The sequence below is a fragment of the Homo sapiens genome, chromosome 3 (assembly GCF_000001405.40).
Source record: "Homo sapiens chromosome 3, GRCh38.p14 Primary Assembly".
Lineage (NCBI taxonomy): Eukaryota > Metazoa > Chordata > Mammalia > Primates > Hominidae > Homo > Homo sapiens.
Window position 1 is genome coordinate 91943837 of NC_000003.12, and position 18936 is coordinate 91962772.

Sequence of the window (18936 nt, forward strand, 5' to 3'; positions counted from 1 at the left end):
CTGGATATTTGGACCTCTTTGAGGCCTTCGTAGTAAACGGGATTTCTTCGTGTAATGATAGACAATAGAATTCTCAGTGAATTTTTTTCTGTGTGTGTGTATTCAACTCACAGGGTTGAACCTTCCTTTAGACAGTGCAGATTTGAAACACTTGTCTGTGGAATTTGCAAGGGGAGATTTCAAGCACTTTGAGGCCATTGGTGAAAAAGGAAATATCTTCGTATAAAAACTAGACAGAATCATTCTCAGGAACTACTTTGTGATATGTGCATTCAACTCCCAGAGTTTAACCTTTCTTTTCATAGATGAGTTTGGAAACAGTCAGTTTGTAAATTCTGCAACTGGATATTTGGGCCTCTTTGAGGCTTTCGTTGGAAACGGGATTTCTTCACATAATGCTAGACAGAAGAATTCTCAGTAACTTCTTTTGGGATGTATGTATTCAAATCAGAGAGTTGAACCTTCCTTTAGACAGAGCGGATTGGAAACACTCTTTTTGTGGAATTTGCAAGTGGAAAATTCTAGCAGTATGAGGCCAATGGTACAAAAGGAAATATCTTCGTATAAAAACTAGACAGTATCATTCTCAGAAACTGCTTTGTGATGTGTGTATTAAACTCACAGAGTTGAACATTTCTTTGCATAGAGCAGTTTGGAAAGACTTAGTTTGTGCAGTGTGCAAGTGGATATTTGGAACTCTTTGAGGCCTTCGTTGGAAACGGGATTTCTTCTTATATTTCTTGACAAAAGAATTCTCAGTAGCTTCTTTGTGTGTGTGTATTCAACTCACAGAGTTGAACCTTCCTTTAGACAGAGCAGATTGGAAACACTCTTTTTGTGGAATTTGCAAGTGGAGAATTCTAGCGCTTTGACGCCAATGGTAGAAAGGAAATATCTTCGTATAAAAACTAGACAGTATCATTCTCAGAAGCTACTTTGTGATGTGTGCGTTCAACTCACAGAGTTTAACCTTTCTTTTCATAGAGCAGTTTGGAAACCCTCTGTTTGTGAAGTCTGCAAGTGGATATTTAAACGTCTTTGAGGCCTTCGTTGGAAACGGGATTTTTTCATATAAACCAGGACAGAAGAATTCTCAGAAACTTCTTGATTGTTATGTGTGCATTCAACTCACAGAGTTGAACCTTACTTTGGAAAGAGCAGTTTTCTAACACTCTTTTTGTAAAAGTTCCAAGTGAATACTTTGAGTGCTTTGAAGCCTACGGTTGACAACGAAATATCTTCATGTAAAAACTACAAAGAATCATTCGCAGAAACCACGTTGTGATCTCTGCAGTCAACTCACAGAGTTCAACCTTTCTTCCTATAGAGCAGTTATGAAACAGTCTCTTTGTAGAATTTGCAAGGGTGTATTTAGAGGGCATTGAAGCCTACGGTAGAAAAGGAAATATCTTACCATAAAATCTAGTCAGAAGCATTCTCAGAAACTGAGTTGTGATGTTTGCATTCAACTCACAGAGTTCAACATTCCTTTTAATGGAGCGGTTTTGAAACACTCTTTTTGCAGAATCTGCAAGTGGATATTTGGACCTCTTTGAGGCCTTCGTTGGAAACGGGATTTCTTCATGTAATGCCAGACAGAAGAATTCTCAGTGAATTCTTTCTGTGTGTGTGTATTCAACTCACAGAGTTGAACGTTCCTTTAGACAGAGTAGATTGGAAACACTCTTTTTGTGGAATTTTCAGGTGGAGGTATCAAGCGCTTGAGGCCAATGATAGAAAAGGAAATACCTTCGTATAATAATTAGACGGAAATCATTCTCAGTAAACTGCTTTGCAATGTGTGCGTTCAACTCACAGTGTTTAACCTTTCTTTTCATACAGTTGTTTCGAAACACTCTTTTTGCAGAATCTGCAAGTGGATATTTGGACCTCTTTGAAGTCTTCGTTGGAAATGGGATTTCTTCATATAATGCTAGACAGAAGACTTCTCAGTAACTGCTTTTTCTGGTGTGTATTCAACTCTCAGAGTTGAACTTTCCTTTAGAAACAGCAGATTTGAAACTCTCTTTTTGTGGAATTTGCAAGTGGAGATTTCAGAGCTTTGAGGCCAATGGTAGAAAAGGAAATATCTTCGTATGCAAACTAGACAGAATCATTCTCAGAAACTACTTTGGTACGTGTGTGTTCAACTCACAGTGTTTAACCTTTCTTTTCATAGAGCAGTTTGGAAACACTCAGTTTGTAAAGTCAGCAACTGGATATTTGGATGTATTTGAGGCCTTCGTTGGAAACGGGATTTCTTCATATAATGCTAGACAGAAGAATTCTCAGTAACTTCTTTGGGTTGTGGGTATTCAAGTCACAGAGTTGAAGCTTCCTTTAGGCGGAGCAGATTGGAAACACTTTTTGTGGAATTTTCAGGGGGAGACTTCAAGCGCTTTGAAGTGAATGGTAGGAAAGGAAATATCTTCGTATAAAAACTAGACGGAGTCATTCTCAGAAACTACTTTGTGATGTTTGCGTTCAACTCACAGAGTTTAACGTTTCTTTTCATAGAGCAGTTTGGAAACACTCTTTTTGCAGAATCTGCAAGTGGATATTTGGACCTCTTTGTGGCCTTCGTTGGAAACGGGATTTTTCATATAATGCTAGACAGAAGAATTCTCAGTAACTTCTTTTTGTGGTGTGTATTCAACTCACAGAGTTGAACCTTCCTTAAGACAGAGCAGATTTGAAACTCTCTTTTTGTGGAATTTGCAAGTGGAGATTTCAAGCGCTTTGAGGCCAACGGCAGAAAAGGAAATATCTTCGTAGAAAAAATAGACGGAATCATTCTCAGAAACTGCTTTGGGATGTGTGCATTGAACTCACAGTGTTTAACACTTCTTTTCATAGAGCACTTTGGAAACACTCAGTTTGTAATGTCTGCAGCTGGATATTTGGACCTCTTTGAGGCCTTCGTAGTAAACGGGATTTCTTCGTGTAATGATAGACAATAGAATTCTCAGTGAATTTTTTTCTGTGTGTGTGTATTCAACTCACAGGGTTGAACCTTCCTTTAGACAGTGCAGATTTGAAACACTTGTCTGTGGAATTTGCAAGGGGAGATTTCAAGCACTTTGAGGCCATTGGTGGAAAAGAAAATATCTTCGTATGAAAACTAGACAGAATCATTCTCAGGAACTACTTTGTGATATGTGCATTCAACTCACAGAGTTCAACCTTTCTTTTCATAGATGAGTTTGGAAACAGTCAGTTTGTAAATTCTGCAACTGGATATTTGGACCTCTTTGAGGCTTTCGTTGGAAACGGGATTTCTTCACATAATGCTAGACAGAAGAATTCTCAGTAACTTCTTTTGGGATGTATGTATTCAAATCAGAGAGTTGAACCTTCCTTTAGACAGAGCGGATTGGAAACACTCTTTTTGTGGAATTTGCAAGTGGAAAATTCTAGCAGTATGAGGCCAATGGTACAAAAGGAAATATCTTCGTATAAAAACTAGACAGTATCATTCTCAGAAACTGCTTTGTGATGTGTGTATTAAACTCACAGAGTTGAACATTTCTTTGCATAGAGCAGTATGGAAAGACTTAGTTTGTGCAGTGTGCAAGTGGATATTTGGAACTCTTTGAGGCCTTGGTTGGAAACGGGATTTCTTCTTATAATTCTTGACAAAAGAATTCTCAGTAGCTTCTTTGTGTGTGTGTACTCAACTCACAGAGTTGAACCTTCCTTTAGACAGAGCAGATTGGAAACACTCTTTTTGTGGAATTTGCAAGTGGAAATTTCTAGCAGTATGAGGCCAATGGTACAAAAGGAAATATCTTCGTATAAAAACTAGACAGTATCATTCTCAGAAACTACTTTGTGATGTGTGCGTTCATCTCACAGTGTTTACCCTTTCTTTTCATAGAGCAGTTTGGAAACACTCTGTTTGTGAAGTCTGCAAGTGGATATTTAAACGTCTTTGAGGCCTTCGTTGGAAACGGGATTTCTTCATATAAACCAGGACAGAAGAATTCTCAGAAACTTCTTGTTTGTTATGTGTGCATTCAACTCACAGAGTTGAACCTTACTTTGGAAAGAGCAGTTTTCTAACACTCTTTTTGTAAAACTTCCAAGTGCATACTTTGAGTGCTTTGAAGCCTACGGTAGACAACGAAATATCTTCATGTAAAAACTACAAAGAATCATTCGCAGAAATCACGTTGTGATCTGTGCATTCAACTCACAGAGTTCAACCTTTCTTTCTATAGAGCAGTTATGAAACACTCTCTTTGTAGAACTTGCAAGGGTGTATTTAGAGGGCATTGAAGCCTACGGTAGAAAAGGAAATATCTGACCATAAAAACTAGACAGAAGCATTCTCAGAAACTGAGTTGTGATGTTTGCGTTCAACTCACAGAGTTCAACATTCCTTTTAATAGAGCGGTTTTGAAACACTCTATTTGCAGAATCTGCAAGTGGATATTTGGACCTCTTTGAGGCCTTCGTTGGAAACGGGATTTGCTTCATGTAAATGCCAGAGAGAAGAATTCTCAGTGAATTCTTTCTGTGTGTGTGTATTCAACTCACAGAGTTGAACGTTCCTTTAGACAGAGTAGATTGGAAACACTCTTTTTGTGGAATTTTCAGGTGGAGGTATCAAGCGCTTTGAGACCAATGATAGAAAAGGAAATACCTTCGTATAATAATTAGACGGAATCATTCTCAGAAACTGCTTTGCAATGTGTGCGTTCAACTCACAGTGTTTAACCTTTCTTTTCATACAGTTGTTTCGAAACACTCTTTTTGCAGAATCTGCAAGTGGATATTTGGACCTCTTTGAAGTCTTCGTTGGAAATGGGATTTCTTCATATAATGCTAGACAGAAGACTTCTCAGTAACTGCTTTTTCTGGTGTGTATTCAACTCTCAGAGTTGAACTTTCCTTTAGAAACAGCAGATTTGAAACTCTCTTTTTGTGGAATTTGCAAGTGGAGATTTCAGAGCTTTGAGGCCAATGGTAGAAAAGGAAATATCTTCGTATGCAAACTAGACAGAATCATTCTCAGAAACTACTTTGGTACGTGTGTGTTCAACTCACAGTGTTTAACCTTTCTTTTCATAGAGCAGTTTGGAAACACTCAGTTTGTAAAGTCAGCAACTGGATATTTGGATGTATTTGAGGCCTTCGTTGGAAACGGGATTTCTTCATATAATGCTACACAGAAGAATTCTCAGTAACTTCTTTGGGTTGTGGGTATTCAAGTCACAGAGTTGAAGCTTCCTTTAGGCGGAGCAGATTGGAAACACTTTTTGTGGAATTTTCAGGGGGAGACTTCAAGCGCTTTGAAGTGAATGGTAGGAAAGGAAATATCGTCGTATAAAAACTAGACGGAGTCATTCTCAGAAACTACTTTGTGATGTTTGCGTTCAACTCACAGAGTTTAACGTTTCTTTTCATAGAGCAGTTTGGAAACACTCTTTTTGCAGAATCTGCAAGTGGATATTTGGACCTCTTTGTGGCCTTCGTTGGAAACGGGATTTTTCATATAATGCTAGACAGAAGAATTCTCAGTAACTTCTTTTTGTGGTGTGTATTCAACTCACAGAGTTGAACCTTCCTTTAGACAGAGCAGATTTGAAACTCTCTTTTTGTGGAATTTGCAAGTGGAGATTTCAAGCGCTTTGAGGCCAACGGCAGAAAAGGAAATATCTTCGTAGAAAAAATAGACGGAATCATTCTCAGAAACTGCTTTGGGATGTGTGCATTGAACTCACAGTGTTTAACACTTCTTTTCATAGAGCACTTTGGAAACACTCAGTTTGTAATGTCTGCAGCTGGATATTTGGACCTCTTTGAGGCCTTCGTAGTAAACGGGATTTCTTCGTGTAATGATAGACAATAGAATTCTCAGTGAATTTTTTTCTGTGTGTGTGTATTCAACTCACAGGGTTGAACCTTCCTTTAGACAGTGCAGATTTGAAACACTTGTCTGTGGAATTTGCAAGGGGAGATTTCAAGCACTTTGAGGCCGTTGGTGGAAAAGGAAATATCTTCGTATGAAAACTAGACAGAATCATTCTCAGGAACTACTTTGTGATATGTGCATTCAACTCACAGAGTTTAACCTTTCTTTTCATAGATGAGTTTGGAAACAGTCAGTTTGTAAATTCTGCAACTGGATATTTGGACCTCTTTGAGGCTTTCGTTGGAAACGGGATTTCTTCACATAATGCTAGACAGAAGAATTCTCAGTAACTTCTTTTGGGATGTATGTATTCAAATCAGAGAGTTGAACCTTCCTTTAGACAGAGCGGATTGGAAACACTCTTTTTGTGGAATTTGCAAGTGGAAAATTCTAGCAGTATGAGGCCAATGGTACAAAAGGAAATATCTTCGTATAAAAACTAGACAGTATCATTCTCAGAAACTGCTTTGTGATGTGTGTATTAAACTCACAGAGTTGAACATTTCTTTGCATAGAGCAGTTTGGAAAGACTTAGTTTGTGCAGTGTGCAAGTGGATATTTGGAACTCTTTGAGGCCTTCGTTGGAAACGGGATTTCTTCTTATAATTCTTGACAAAAGAATTCTCAGTAGCTTCTTTGTGTGTGTGTATTCAACTCACAGAGTTGAACCTTCCTTTAGACAGAGCAGATTGGAAACACTCTTTTTGTGGAATTTGCAAGTGGAGAATTCTAGCGCTTTGACGCCAATGGTAGAAAGGAAATATCTTCGTATAAAAACTAGACAGTATCATTCTCAGAAGCTACTTTGTGATGTGTGCGTTCAACTCACAGAGTTTAACCTTTCTTTTCATAGAGCAGTTTGGAAACCCTCTGTTTGTGAAGTCTGCAAGTGGATATTTAAACGTCTTTGAGGCCTTCGTTGGAAACGGGATTTCTTCATATAAACCAGGACAGAAGAATTCTCAGAAACTTCTTGATTGTTATGTGTGCATTCAACTCACAGAGTTGAACCTTACTTTGGAAAGAGCAGTTTTCTAACACTCTTTTTGTAAAAGTTCCAAGTGAATACTTTGAGTGCTTTGAAGCCTACGGTTGACAACGAAATATCTTCATGTAAAAACTACAAAGAATCATTCGCAGAAACCACGTTGTGATCTCTGCATTCAACTCACAGAGTTCAACCTTTCTTCCTATAGAGCAGTTATGAAACAGTCTCTTTGTAGAATTTGCAAGGGTGTATTTAGAGGGCATTGAAGCCTACGGTAGAAAAGGAAATATCTTACCATAAAATCTAGTCAGAAGCATTCTCAGCAACTGAGTTGTGATGTTTGCATTCAACTCACAGAGTTCAACATTCCTTTTAATGGAGCGGTTTTGAAACACTCTTTTTGCAGAATCTGCAAGTGGATATTTGGACCTCTTTGAGGCCTTCGTTGGAAACGGGATTTCTTCATGTAATGCCAGACAGAAGAATTCTCAGTGAATTCTTTCTGTGTGTGTGTATTCAACTCACAGAGTTGAACGTTCCTTTAGACAGAGTAGATTGGAAACACTCTTTTTGTGGAATTTTCAGGTGGATGTATCAAGCGCTTTGAGGCCAATGATAGAAAAGGAAATACCTTCGTATAATAATTAGACGGAATCATTCTCAGAAACTGCTTTGCAATGTGTGCGTTCAACTCACAGTGTTTAACCTTTCTTTTCATACAGTTGTTTCGAAACACTCTTTTTGCAGAATCTGCAAGTGGATATTTGGACCTCTTTGAAGTCTTCGTTGGAAATGGGATTTCTTCATATAATGCTAGACAGAAGACTTCTCAGTAACTGCTTTTTCTGGTGTGTATTCAACTCTCAGAGTTGAACTTTCCTTTAGAAACAGCAGATTTGAAACTCTCTTTTTGTGGAATTTGCAAGTGGAGATTTCAGAGCTTTGAGGCCAATGGTAGAAAAGGAAATATCTTCGTATGCAAACTAGACAGAATCATTCTCAGAAACTACTTTGGTACGTGTGTGTTCAACTCACAGTGTTTAACCTTTCTTTTCATAGAGCAGTTTGGAAACACTGTTTGTAAAGTCAGCAACTGGATATTTGGATGTATTTGAGGCCTTCGTTGGAAACGGGATTTCTTCATATAATGCTAGACAGAAGAATTCTCAGTAACTTCTTTGGGTTGTGGGTATTCAACTCACAGAGTTGAAGCTTCCTTTAGGCGGAGCAGATTGGAAACACTTTTTGTGGAATTTTCAGGGGGAGACTTCAAGCGCTTTGAAGTGAATGGTAGGAAAGGAAATATCTTCGTATAAAAACTAGACGGAGTCATTCTCAGAAACTACTTTGTGATGTTTGCGTTCAACTCACAGAGTTTAACGTTTCTTTTCATAGAGCAGTTTGGAAACACTCTTTTTGCAGAATCTGCAAGTGGATATTTGGACCTCCTTTGTGGCCTTCGTTGGAAACGGGATTTTTCATATAATGCTAGACAGAAGAATTCTCAGTAACTTCTTTTTGTGGTGTGTATTCAACTCACAGAGTTGAACCTTCCTTTAGACAGAGCAGATTTGAAACTCTCTTTTTGTGGAATTTGCAAGTGGAGATTTCAAGCGCTTTGAGGCCAACGGCAGAAAAGGAAATATCTTCGTAGAAAAAATAGACGGAATCATTCTCAGAAACTGCTTTGGGATGTGTGCATTGAACTCACAGTGTTTAACACTTCTTTTCATAGAGCACTTTGGAAACACTCAGTTTGTAATGTCTGCAGCTGGATATTTGGACCTCTTTGAGGCCTTCGTAGTAAACGGGATTTCTTCGTGTAATGATAGACAATAGAATTCTCAGTGAATTTTTTTCTGTGTGTGTGTATTCAACTCACAGTGTTGAACCTTCCTTTAGACAGTGCAGATTTGAAACACTTGTCTGTGGAATTTGCAAGGGGAGATTTCAAGCACTTTGAGGCCATTGGTGGAAAAGGAAATATCTTCGTATAAAAACTAGACAGAATCATTCTCAGGAACTACTTTGTGATATGTGCATTCAACTCACAGAGTTTAACCTTTCTTTTCATAGATGAGTTTGGAAACAGTCAGTTTGTAAATTCTGCAACTGGATATTTGGACCTCTTTGAGGCTTTCGTTGGAAACGGGATTTCTTCACATAATGCTAGACAGAAGAATTCTCAGTAAATTCTTTTGGGATGTATGTATTCAAATCAGAGAGTTGAACCTTCCTTTAGACAGAGCGGATTGGAAACACTCTTTTTGTGGAATTTGCAAGTGGAAAATTCTAGCAGTATGAGGCCAATGGTACAAAAGGAAATATCTTCGTACAAAAACTAGACAGTATCATTCTCAGAAACTGCTTTGTGATGTGTGTATTAAACTCACAGAGTTGAACATTTCTTTGCATAGAGCAGTTTGGAAAGACTTAGTTTGTGCAGTGTGCAAGTGGATATTTGGAACTCTTTGAGGCCTTCGTTGGAAACGGGATTTCTTCTTATAATTCTTGACAAAAGAATTCTCAGTAGCTTCTTTGTGTGTGTGTATTCAACTCACAGAGTTGAACCTTCCTTTAGACAGAGCAGATTGGAAACACTCTTTTTGTGGAATTTGCAAGTGGAGAATTCTAGCGCTTTGACGCCAATGGTAGAAAGGAAATATCTTCGTATAAAAACTAGACAGTATCATTCTCAGAAGCTACTTTGTGATGTGTGCATTCAACTCACAGAGTTTAACCTTTCTTTTCATAGAGCAGTTTGGAAACCCTCTGTTTGTGAAGTCTGCAAGTGGATATTTAAACGTCTTTGAGGCCTTCGTTGGAAACGGGATTTTTTCATATAAACCAGGACAGAAGAATTCTCAGAAACTTCTTGATTGTTATGTGTGCATTCAACTCACAGAGTTGAACCTTACTTTGGAAAGAGCAGTTTTCTAACACTCTTTTTGTAAAAGTTCCAAGTGAATACTTTGAGTGCTTTGAAGCCTACGGTTGACAACGAAATATCTTCATGTAAAAACTACAAAGAATCATTCGCAGAAACCACGTTGTGATCTCTGCATTCAACTCACAGAGTTCAACCTTTCTTCCTATAGAGCAGTTATGAAACAGTCTCTTTGTAGAATTTGCAAGGGTGTATTTAGAGGGCATTGAAGCCTACGGTAGAAAAGGAAATATCTTACCATAAAATCTAGTCAGAAGCATTCTCAGCAACTGAGTTGTGATGTTTGCATTCAACTCACAGAGTTCAACATTCCTTTTAATGGAGCGGTTTTGAAACACTCTTTTTGCAGAATCTGCAAGTGGATATTTGGACCTCTTTGAGGCCTTCGTTGGAAACGGGATTTCTTCATGTAATGCCAGACAGAAGAATTCTCAGTGAATTCTTTCTGTGTGTGTGTATTCAACTCACAGAGTTGAACGTTCCTTTAGACAGAGTAGATTGGAAACACTCTTTTTGTGGAATTTTCAGGTGGAGGTATCAAGCGCTTTGAGGCCAATGATAGAAAAGGAAATACCTTCGTATAATAATTAGACGGAATCATTCTCAGAAACTGCTTTGCAATGTGTGCGTTCAACTCACAGTGTTTAACCTTTCTTTTCATACAGTTGTTTCGAAACACTCTTTTTGCAGAATCTGCAAGTGGATATTTGGACCTCTTTGAAGTCTTCGTTGGAAATGGGATTTCTTCATATAATGCTAGACAGAAGACTTCTCAGTAACTGCTTTTTCTGGTGTGTATTCAACTCTCAGAGTTGAACTTTCCTTTAGAAACAGCAGATTTGAAACTCTCTTTTTGTGGAATTTGCAAGTGGAGATTTCAGAGCTTTGAGGCCAATGGTAGAAAAGGAAATATCTTCGTATGCAAACTAGACAGAATCATTCTCAGAAACTACTTTGGTACGTGTGTGTTCAACTCACAGTGTTTAACCTTTCTTTTCATAGAGCAGTTTGGAAACACTCAGTTTGTAAAGTCAGCAACTGGATATTTGGATGTATTTGAGGCCTTCGTTGGAAACGGGATTTCTTCATATAATGCTAGACAGAAGAATTCTCAGTAACTTCTTTGGGTTGTGGGTATTCAAGTCACAGAGTTGAAGCTTCCTTTAGGCGGAGCAGATTGGAAACACTTTTTGTGGAATTTTCAGGGGGAGACTTCAAGCGCTTTGAAGTGAATGGTAGGAAAGGAAATATCTTCGTATAAAAACTAGACGGAGTCATTCTCAGAAACTACTTTGTGATGTTTGCGTTCAACTCACAGAGTTTAACGTTTCTTTTCATAGAGCAGTTTGGAAACACTCTTTTTGCAGAATCTGCAAGTGGATATTTGGACCTCTTTGTGGCCTTCGTTGGAAACGGGATTTTTCATATAATGCTAGACAGAAGAATTCTCAGTAATTTCTTTTTGTGGTGTGTATTCAACTCACAGAGTTGAACCTTCTTTTAGACAGAGCAGATTTGAAACTCTCTTTTTGTGGAATTTGCAAGTGGAGATTTCAAGCGCTTTGAGGCCAACGGCAGAAAAGGAAATATCTTCGTAGAAAAAATAGACGGAATCATTCTCAGAAACTGCTTTGGGATGTGTGCATTGAACTCACAGTGTTTAACACTTCTTTTCATAGAGCACTTTGGAAACACTCAGGTTGTAATGTCTGCAGCTGGATATTTGGACCTCTTTGAGGCCTTCGTGGTAAACGGGATTTCTTCGTGTAATGATAGACAATAGAATTCTCAGTGAATTTTTTTCTGTGTGTGTGTATTCAACTCACAGGGTTGAACCTTCCTTTAGACAGTGCAGATTTGAGACACTTGTCTGTGGAATTTGCAAGGGGAGATTTCAAGCACTTTGAGGCCATTGGTGGAAAAGGAAATATCTTCGTATAAAAACTAGACAGAATCATTCTCAGGAACTACTTTGTGATATGTGCATTCAACTCCCAGAGTTTAACCTTTCTTTTCATAGATGAGTTTGGAAACAGTCAGTTTGTAAATTCTGCAACTGGATATTTGGACCTCTTTGAGGCTTTCGTTGGAAACGGGATTTCTTCACATAATGCTAGACAGAAGAATTCTCAGTAACTTCTTTTGGGATGTATGTATTCAAATCAGAGAGTTGAACCTTCCTTTAGACAGAGCGGATTGGAAACACTCTTTTTGTGGAATTTGCAAGTGGAAAATTCTAGCAGTATGAGGCCAATGGTACAAAAGGAAATATCTTCGTATAAAAACTAGACAGTATCATTCTCAGAAACTGCTTTGTGATGTGTGTATTAAACTCACAGATTTGAACATTTCTTTGCATAGAGCAGTTTGGAAAGACTTAGTTTGTGCAGTGTGCAAGTGGATATTTGGAACTCTTTGAGGCCTTCGTTTGAAACGGGATTTCTTCTTATAATTCTTGACAAAAGAATTCTCAGTAGCTTCCTTGTGTGTGTGTATTCAACTCGCAGAGTTGAACCTGCCTTTAGGCAGAGCAGATTGGAAACCCTCTTTTTGTGGAATTTGCAAGTGGAGAATTCTAGCGCTTTGACGCCAATGGTAGGAAAGGAAATATCTTCGTATAAAAACTGGACAGTATCATTCTCAGAAACTACTTTGTGATGTGTGCGTTCAACTCACAGAGTTTAACCTTTCTTTTCATAGAGCAGTTTGGAAACACTCTGTTTGTGAAGTCTGCAAGTGGATATTTAAACGTCTTTGAGGCCTTCGTTGGAAACGGGATTTTTTCATATAAACCAGGACAGAAGAATTCTCAGAAACTTCTTGATTGTTATGTGTGCATTCAACTCACAGAGTTGAACCTTACTTTGGAAAGAGCAGTTTTCTAACACTCTTTTTGTAAAAGTTCCAAGTGAATACTTTGAGTGCTTTGAAGCCTACGGTTGACAACGAAATATCTTCATGTAAAAACTACAAAGAATCATTCGCAGAAACCACGTTGTGATCTCTGCATTCAACTCACAGAGTTGAACCTTTCTTCCTATAGAGCAGTTATGAAACAGTCTCTTTGTAGAATTTGCAAGGGTGTATTTAGAGGGCATTGAAGCCTACGGTAGAAAAGGAAATATCTTACCATAAAATCTAGTCAGAAGCATTCTCAGAAACTGAGTTGTGATGTTTGCATTCAACTCACAGAGTTCAACATTCCTTTTAATGGAGCGGTTTTGAAACACTCTTTTTGCAGAATCTGCAAGTGGATATTTGGACCTCTTTGAGGCCTTCGTTGGAAACGGGATTTCTTCATGTAATGCCAGACAGAAGAATTCTCAGTGAATTCTTTCTGTGTGTGTGTATTCAACTCACAGAGTTGAACGTTCCTTTAGACAGAGTAGATTGGAAACACTCTTTTTGTGGAATTTTCAGGTGGAGGTATCAAGCGCTTTGAGGCCAATGATAGAAAAGGAAATACCTTCGTATAATAATTAGACGGAATCATTCTCAGAAACCGCTTTGCAATGTGTGCGTTCAACTCACAGTGTTTAACCTTTCTTTTCATACAGTTGTTTCGAAACACTCTTTTTGCAGAATCTGCAAGTGGATATTTGGACCTCTTTGAAGTCTTCGTTGGAAATGGGATTTCTTCATATAATGCTAGACAGAAGACTTCTCAGTAACTGCTTTTTCTGGTGTGTATTCAACTCTCAGAGTTGAACTTTCCTTTAGAAACAGCAGATTTGAAACTCTCTTTTTGTGGAATTTGCAAGTGGAGATTTCAGAGCTTTGAGGCCAATGGTAGAAAAGGAAATATCTTCGTATGCAAACTAGACAGAATCATTCTCAGAAACTACTTTGGTACGTGTGTGTTCAACTCACAGTGTTTAACCTTTCTTTTCATAGAGCAGTTTGGAAACACTCAGTTTGTAAAGTCAGCAACTGGATATTTGGATGTATTTGAGGCCTTCGTTGGAAACGGGATTTCTTCATATAATGCTAGACAGAAGAATTCTCAGTAACTTCTTTGGGTTGTGGGTATTCAAGTCACAGAGTTGAAGCTTCCTTTAGGCGGAGCAGATTGGAAACACTTTTTGTGGAATTTTCAGGGGGAGACTTCAAGCGCTTTGAAGTGAATGGTAGGAAAGGAAATATCTTCGTATAAAAACTAGACGGAGTCATTCTCAGAAACTACTTTGTGATGTTTGCGTTCAACTCACAGAGTTTAACGTTTCTTTTCATAGAGCAGTTTGGAAACACTCTTTTTGCAGAATCTGCAAGTGGATATTTGGACCTTTTGTGGCCTTCGTTGGAAACGGGATTTTTCATATAATGCTAGACAGAAGAATTCTCAGTAACTTCTTTTTGTGGTGTGTATTCAACTCACAGAGTTGAACCTTCCTTTAGACAGAGCAGATTTGAAACTCTCTTTTTGTGGAATTTGCAAGTGGAGATTTCAAGCGCTTTGAGGCCAACGGTAGAAAAGGAAATATCTTCGTAGAAAAAATAGACGGCATCATTCTCAGAAACTGCTTTGGGATGTGTGCATTGAACTCACAGTGTTTAACACTTCTTTTCATAGAGCACTTTGGAAACAGTCAGTTTGGAATGTCTGCAGCTGGATATTTGGACCTCTTTGAGGCCTTCGTAGTAAACGGGATTTCTTCGGGTAATGATAGACAATAGAATTCTCAGTGAATTTTTTTCTGTGTGTGTGTATTCAACTCACAGGGTTGAACCTTCCTTCAGACAGTACAGATTTGAAACACTTTTCTGTGGAATTTGCAAGGGGAGATTTCAAGCACTTTGTGGCCATTGGTGGAAAAGGGAATATCTTCGTATAAAAACTAGACAGAGTCATTGTCAGGAACTACTTTGTGATATGTGCATTCAACTCACAGAGTTTAACCTTTCTTTTCATAGATGAGTTTGGAAACAGTCAGTTTGTAAATTCTGCAACTGGATATTTGGACCTCTTTGAGGCTTTCGTTGGAAACGGGATTTCTTCACATAATGCTAGACAGAAGAATTCTCAGTAACTTCTTTTGGGATGTATGTATTCAACTCAGAGAGTTGAACCTTCCTTTAGACAGAGCGGATTGGAAACACGCTTTTTGCGGAATTTTCAGGTGGAGATTCCAAGAGCCTTGAGGCCAATGGTAGAAAAGGCTATCTTCGTATAAAAACTAGAGGGAATCATTCTCAGAAACTGCTTTGTGATGTGTGCATTAAACTCACAGAGTTGAACATTTCTTTGCATAGAGCAGTTTGGAAAGACTTAGTTTGTACAGTGTGCAAGTGGATATTTGGAACTCTTTGAGGCCTTCGTTGGAAACGGGATTTCTTCTTATAATTCTTGACAAAAGAATTCTCAGTAGCTTCTTTGTGTGTGTGTATTCAACTCACAGAGTTGAACCTTCCTTTAGGCAGAGCAGATTGGAAACCCACTTTTTGTGGAATTTGCAAGTGGAGAATTCTAGCGCTTTGACGCCAATGGTAGGAAAGGAAATATCTCCGTATAAAAACTAGACAGTATCATTCTCAGAAACTACTTTGTGATGTGTGCGTTCAACTCACAGAGTTTAACCTTTCTTTTCATAGAGCAGTTTGGAAACACTCTGTTTGTGAAGTCTGCAAGAGGATATTTAAACGTCTTTGAGGCCTTCGTTGGAAACGGGATTTTTTCATATAAACCAGGACAGAAGAATTCTCAGAAACTTCTTGTTTGTTATGTGTGCATTCAACTCACAGAGTTGAACCTTACTTCGGAAAGAGCAGTTTTCTAACACTCTTTTTGTAAAAGTTCCAAGTGAATACTTTGAGTGCTTTGAAGCCTACGGTAGACAACGAAATATCTTCATGCAAAAACTGCAAAGAATCATTCGCCGAAACCACGTTGTGATCTCTGCATTCAACTCACAGAGTTCAACCTTTCTTCCTATAGAGCAGTTATTAAACAGTCTCTTTGTAGAATTTGCAAGGGTGTATTTAGAGGGCATTGAGGCCTACGGTAGAAAAGGAAATATCTGACCATAAAATCTAGTCAGAAGCATTCTCAGAAACTGAGTTGTGATGTTTGCATTCAACTCACAGAGTTCAACATTCCTTTTCATAGAGCGGTTTTGAAACACTCTTTTTCCAGAATCTGCAAGTGGATATTTGGACCTCTTTGAGGCCTTCGTTGGAAACGGGATTTCTTCATGTAATCCCAGACAGAAGAACTCTCAGTGAATTCTTTCTGTGTGTGTGTACTCAACTCACAGAGTTGAACGTTCCCTTAGACAGAGTAGATTGGAAACACTCTTTTTGTGGAATGTTCACGTGGAGGTATCAAGCGCTTTGAGGCCCATGATAGAAAAGGAAATACCTTCGTATAATAATTAGATGGAATCATTCTCAGAAACTGCTTTGCAATGTGTGCCTTCAACTCACAGTGTTTAACCTTTCTTTTCATACAGTTGTTTCGAAACACCCTTTTTGCGGAATCTGGAAGTGGATATTTGGACCTCTTTGAAGTCTTCGTTGGAAATGGGATTTCTTCATATAATGCTAGACAGAAGACTTCTCAGTAACTGGTTTTTCTGGTGTGTATTCAACTCTCAGAGTTGAACTTTCCTTTAGAAACAGCAGATATGAAACTCTCTTTTTGTGGAATTTGCAAGTGGAGATTTCAAAGCATTGAGGCCAATGGTAGAAAAGGAAATATCTTCGTATGCCAACTAGACAGAATCATTCTCAGAAACTACTTTGGTACGTGTGTGTTCAACTCACAGTGTTTAACCTTTCCTTTCATAGAGCAGTTTGGAAACACTCAGTTTGTAAAGTCAGCCACTGGATATTTGGATGTATTTGAGGCCTTCGTTGGAAACGGGATTTCTTCATATAATGCTAGACAGAAGAATTCTCAGTAACTTCTTTGTGTTGTGGGTATTCAACTCACAGAGTTGAAGCTTCCTTTAGGCGGAGCAGATTGGAAACACTTTTTGTGGAATTTTCAGGGGGAGACTTCAAGCGCTTTGAGGCCAACGGTAGAAAAGGAAATATCTTCGTATAAAAACTAGACGGAGTCATTCTCAGAAACTACTTTGTGATGTTTGCATTCAACTCACAGAGTTTAACGTTTCTTTTCATAGAGCAGTTTGGAGACACTCTTTTTGCAGAATCTGCAAGTGGATATTTGGACCTCTTTGTGGCCTTCGTTGGAAACGGGATTTTTCATATAATGCTAGACAGAAGAATTCTCAGTAACTTCTTTTTGTGGTGTGTATTCAACTCACAGAGTTGAACCTTCCTTTAGACAGAGCAGATTTGAAACTCTCTTTTTGTGGAATTTGCAAGTGGAGATTTCAAGCGCTTTGAGGCCAACGGTAGAAAAGGAAATATCTTCGTAGAAAAAATAGACGGAATCATTCTCAGAAACTGCTTTGGGATGCGTGCATTGAACTCACAGTGTTTAACACTTCTTTTCATAGAGCACTTTGGAAACACTCAGTTTGTAATGTCTGCAGCTGGATATTTGGACCTCTTTGAGGCCTTCGTAGTAAACGGGATTTCTTCGTGTAATGATAGACAATAGAATTCTCAGTGAATTTTTTTCTGTGTGTGTGTATTCAACTCACAGGGTTGAACCTTCCTTTAGACAGTGCAGATTTGAAACACTTGTCTGTGGAATTTGCAAGGGGAGATTTCAAGCACTTTGAGGCCATTGGTGGAAAAGGAAATATCTTCCGTATAAAAACTAGACAGAATCATTCTCAGGAACTACTTTGTGATATGTGCATTCAACTCCCAGAGTTTAACCTTTCTTTTCATAGATGAGTCTGGAAACAGTCAGTTTGTAAATTCTGCAACTGGATATTTGGACCTCTTTGAGGCTTTCGTTGGAAACGGGATTTCTTCACATAATGCTAGACAGAAGAATTCTCAGGAACTTCTTTTGGGATGTATGTATTCAAATCAGAGAGTTGAACCTTCCTTTAGACAGAGCGGATTGGAAACACTCTTTTTGTGGAATTTGCAAGTGGAAAATTCTAGCAGTATGAGGCCAATGGTACAAAAGGAAATATCTTCGTATAAAAACTAGACAGTATCATTCTCAGAAACTGCTTTGTGATGTGTGTATTAAACTCACAGAGTTGAACATTTCTTTGCATAGAGCAGTTTGGAAAGACTTAGTTTGTGCAGTGTGCAAGTGGATATTTGGAACTCTTTGAGGCCTTCGTTGGAAACGGGATTTCTTCTTATAATTCTTGACAAAAGGAATTCTCAGTAGCTTCTTTGTGTGTGTGTATTCAACTCACAGAGTTGAACCTTCCTTTAGACAGAGCAGATTGGAAACACTCTTTTTGTGGAATTTGCAAGTGGAGAATTCTAGCGCTTTGACACCAATGGTAGAAAGGAAATATCTTCGTATAAAAACTAGACAGTATCATTCTCAGAAGCTACTTTGTGATGTGTGCGTTCAACTCACAGAGTTTAACCTTTCTTTTCATAGAGCAGTTTGGAAACACTCTGTTTGTGAAGTCTGCAAGTGGATATTTAAACGTCTTTGAGGCCTTCGTTGGAAACGGGATTTTTTCATATAAACCAGGACAGAGGAATTCTCAGAAACTTCTTGATTGTTATGTGTGCATTCAACTCACAGAGTTGAACCTTACTTTGGAAAGAGCAGTTTCCTAACACTCGTTTTGTAAAAGTTCCAAGTGAATACTTTGAGTGCTTTGAAGCCTACGGTTGACAACGAAATATCTTCATGTAAAAACTACAAAGAATCATTCGCAGAAACCACGTTGTGATCTCTGCATTCAACTCACAGCGTTCAACCTTTCTTCCTATAGAGCAGTTATGAAACAGTCTCTTTGTAGAATTTGCAAGGGTGTATTTAGAGGGCATTGAAGCCTACGGTAGAAAAGGAAATATCTTACCATAAAATCTAGTCAGAAGCATTCTCAGAAACTGAGTTGTGATGTTTGCATTCAACTCACAGAGTTCAACATTCCTTTTAATGGAGCGGTTTTGAAACACTCTTTTTGCAGAATCTGCAAGTGGATATTTGGACCTCTTTGAGGCCTTCGTTGGAAACGGGATTTCTTCATG

At 38.4% G+C, this 18936-nt stretch overlaps 1 annotated feature.

Moving 5' to 3' along the window:
- Positions 1-18936: part of a centromere (Linear centromere model derived predominantly from reads generated in PMID: 17803354. This region does not represent an actual centromere sequence, as long-range ordering of repeats and unmapped WGS contigs is not provided by the model. For details of model production, see http://arxiv.org/abs/1307.0035.) that runs on past both edges of the window.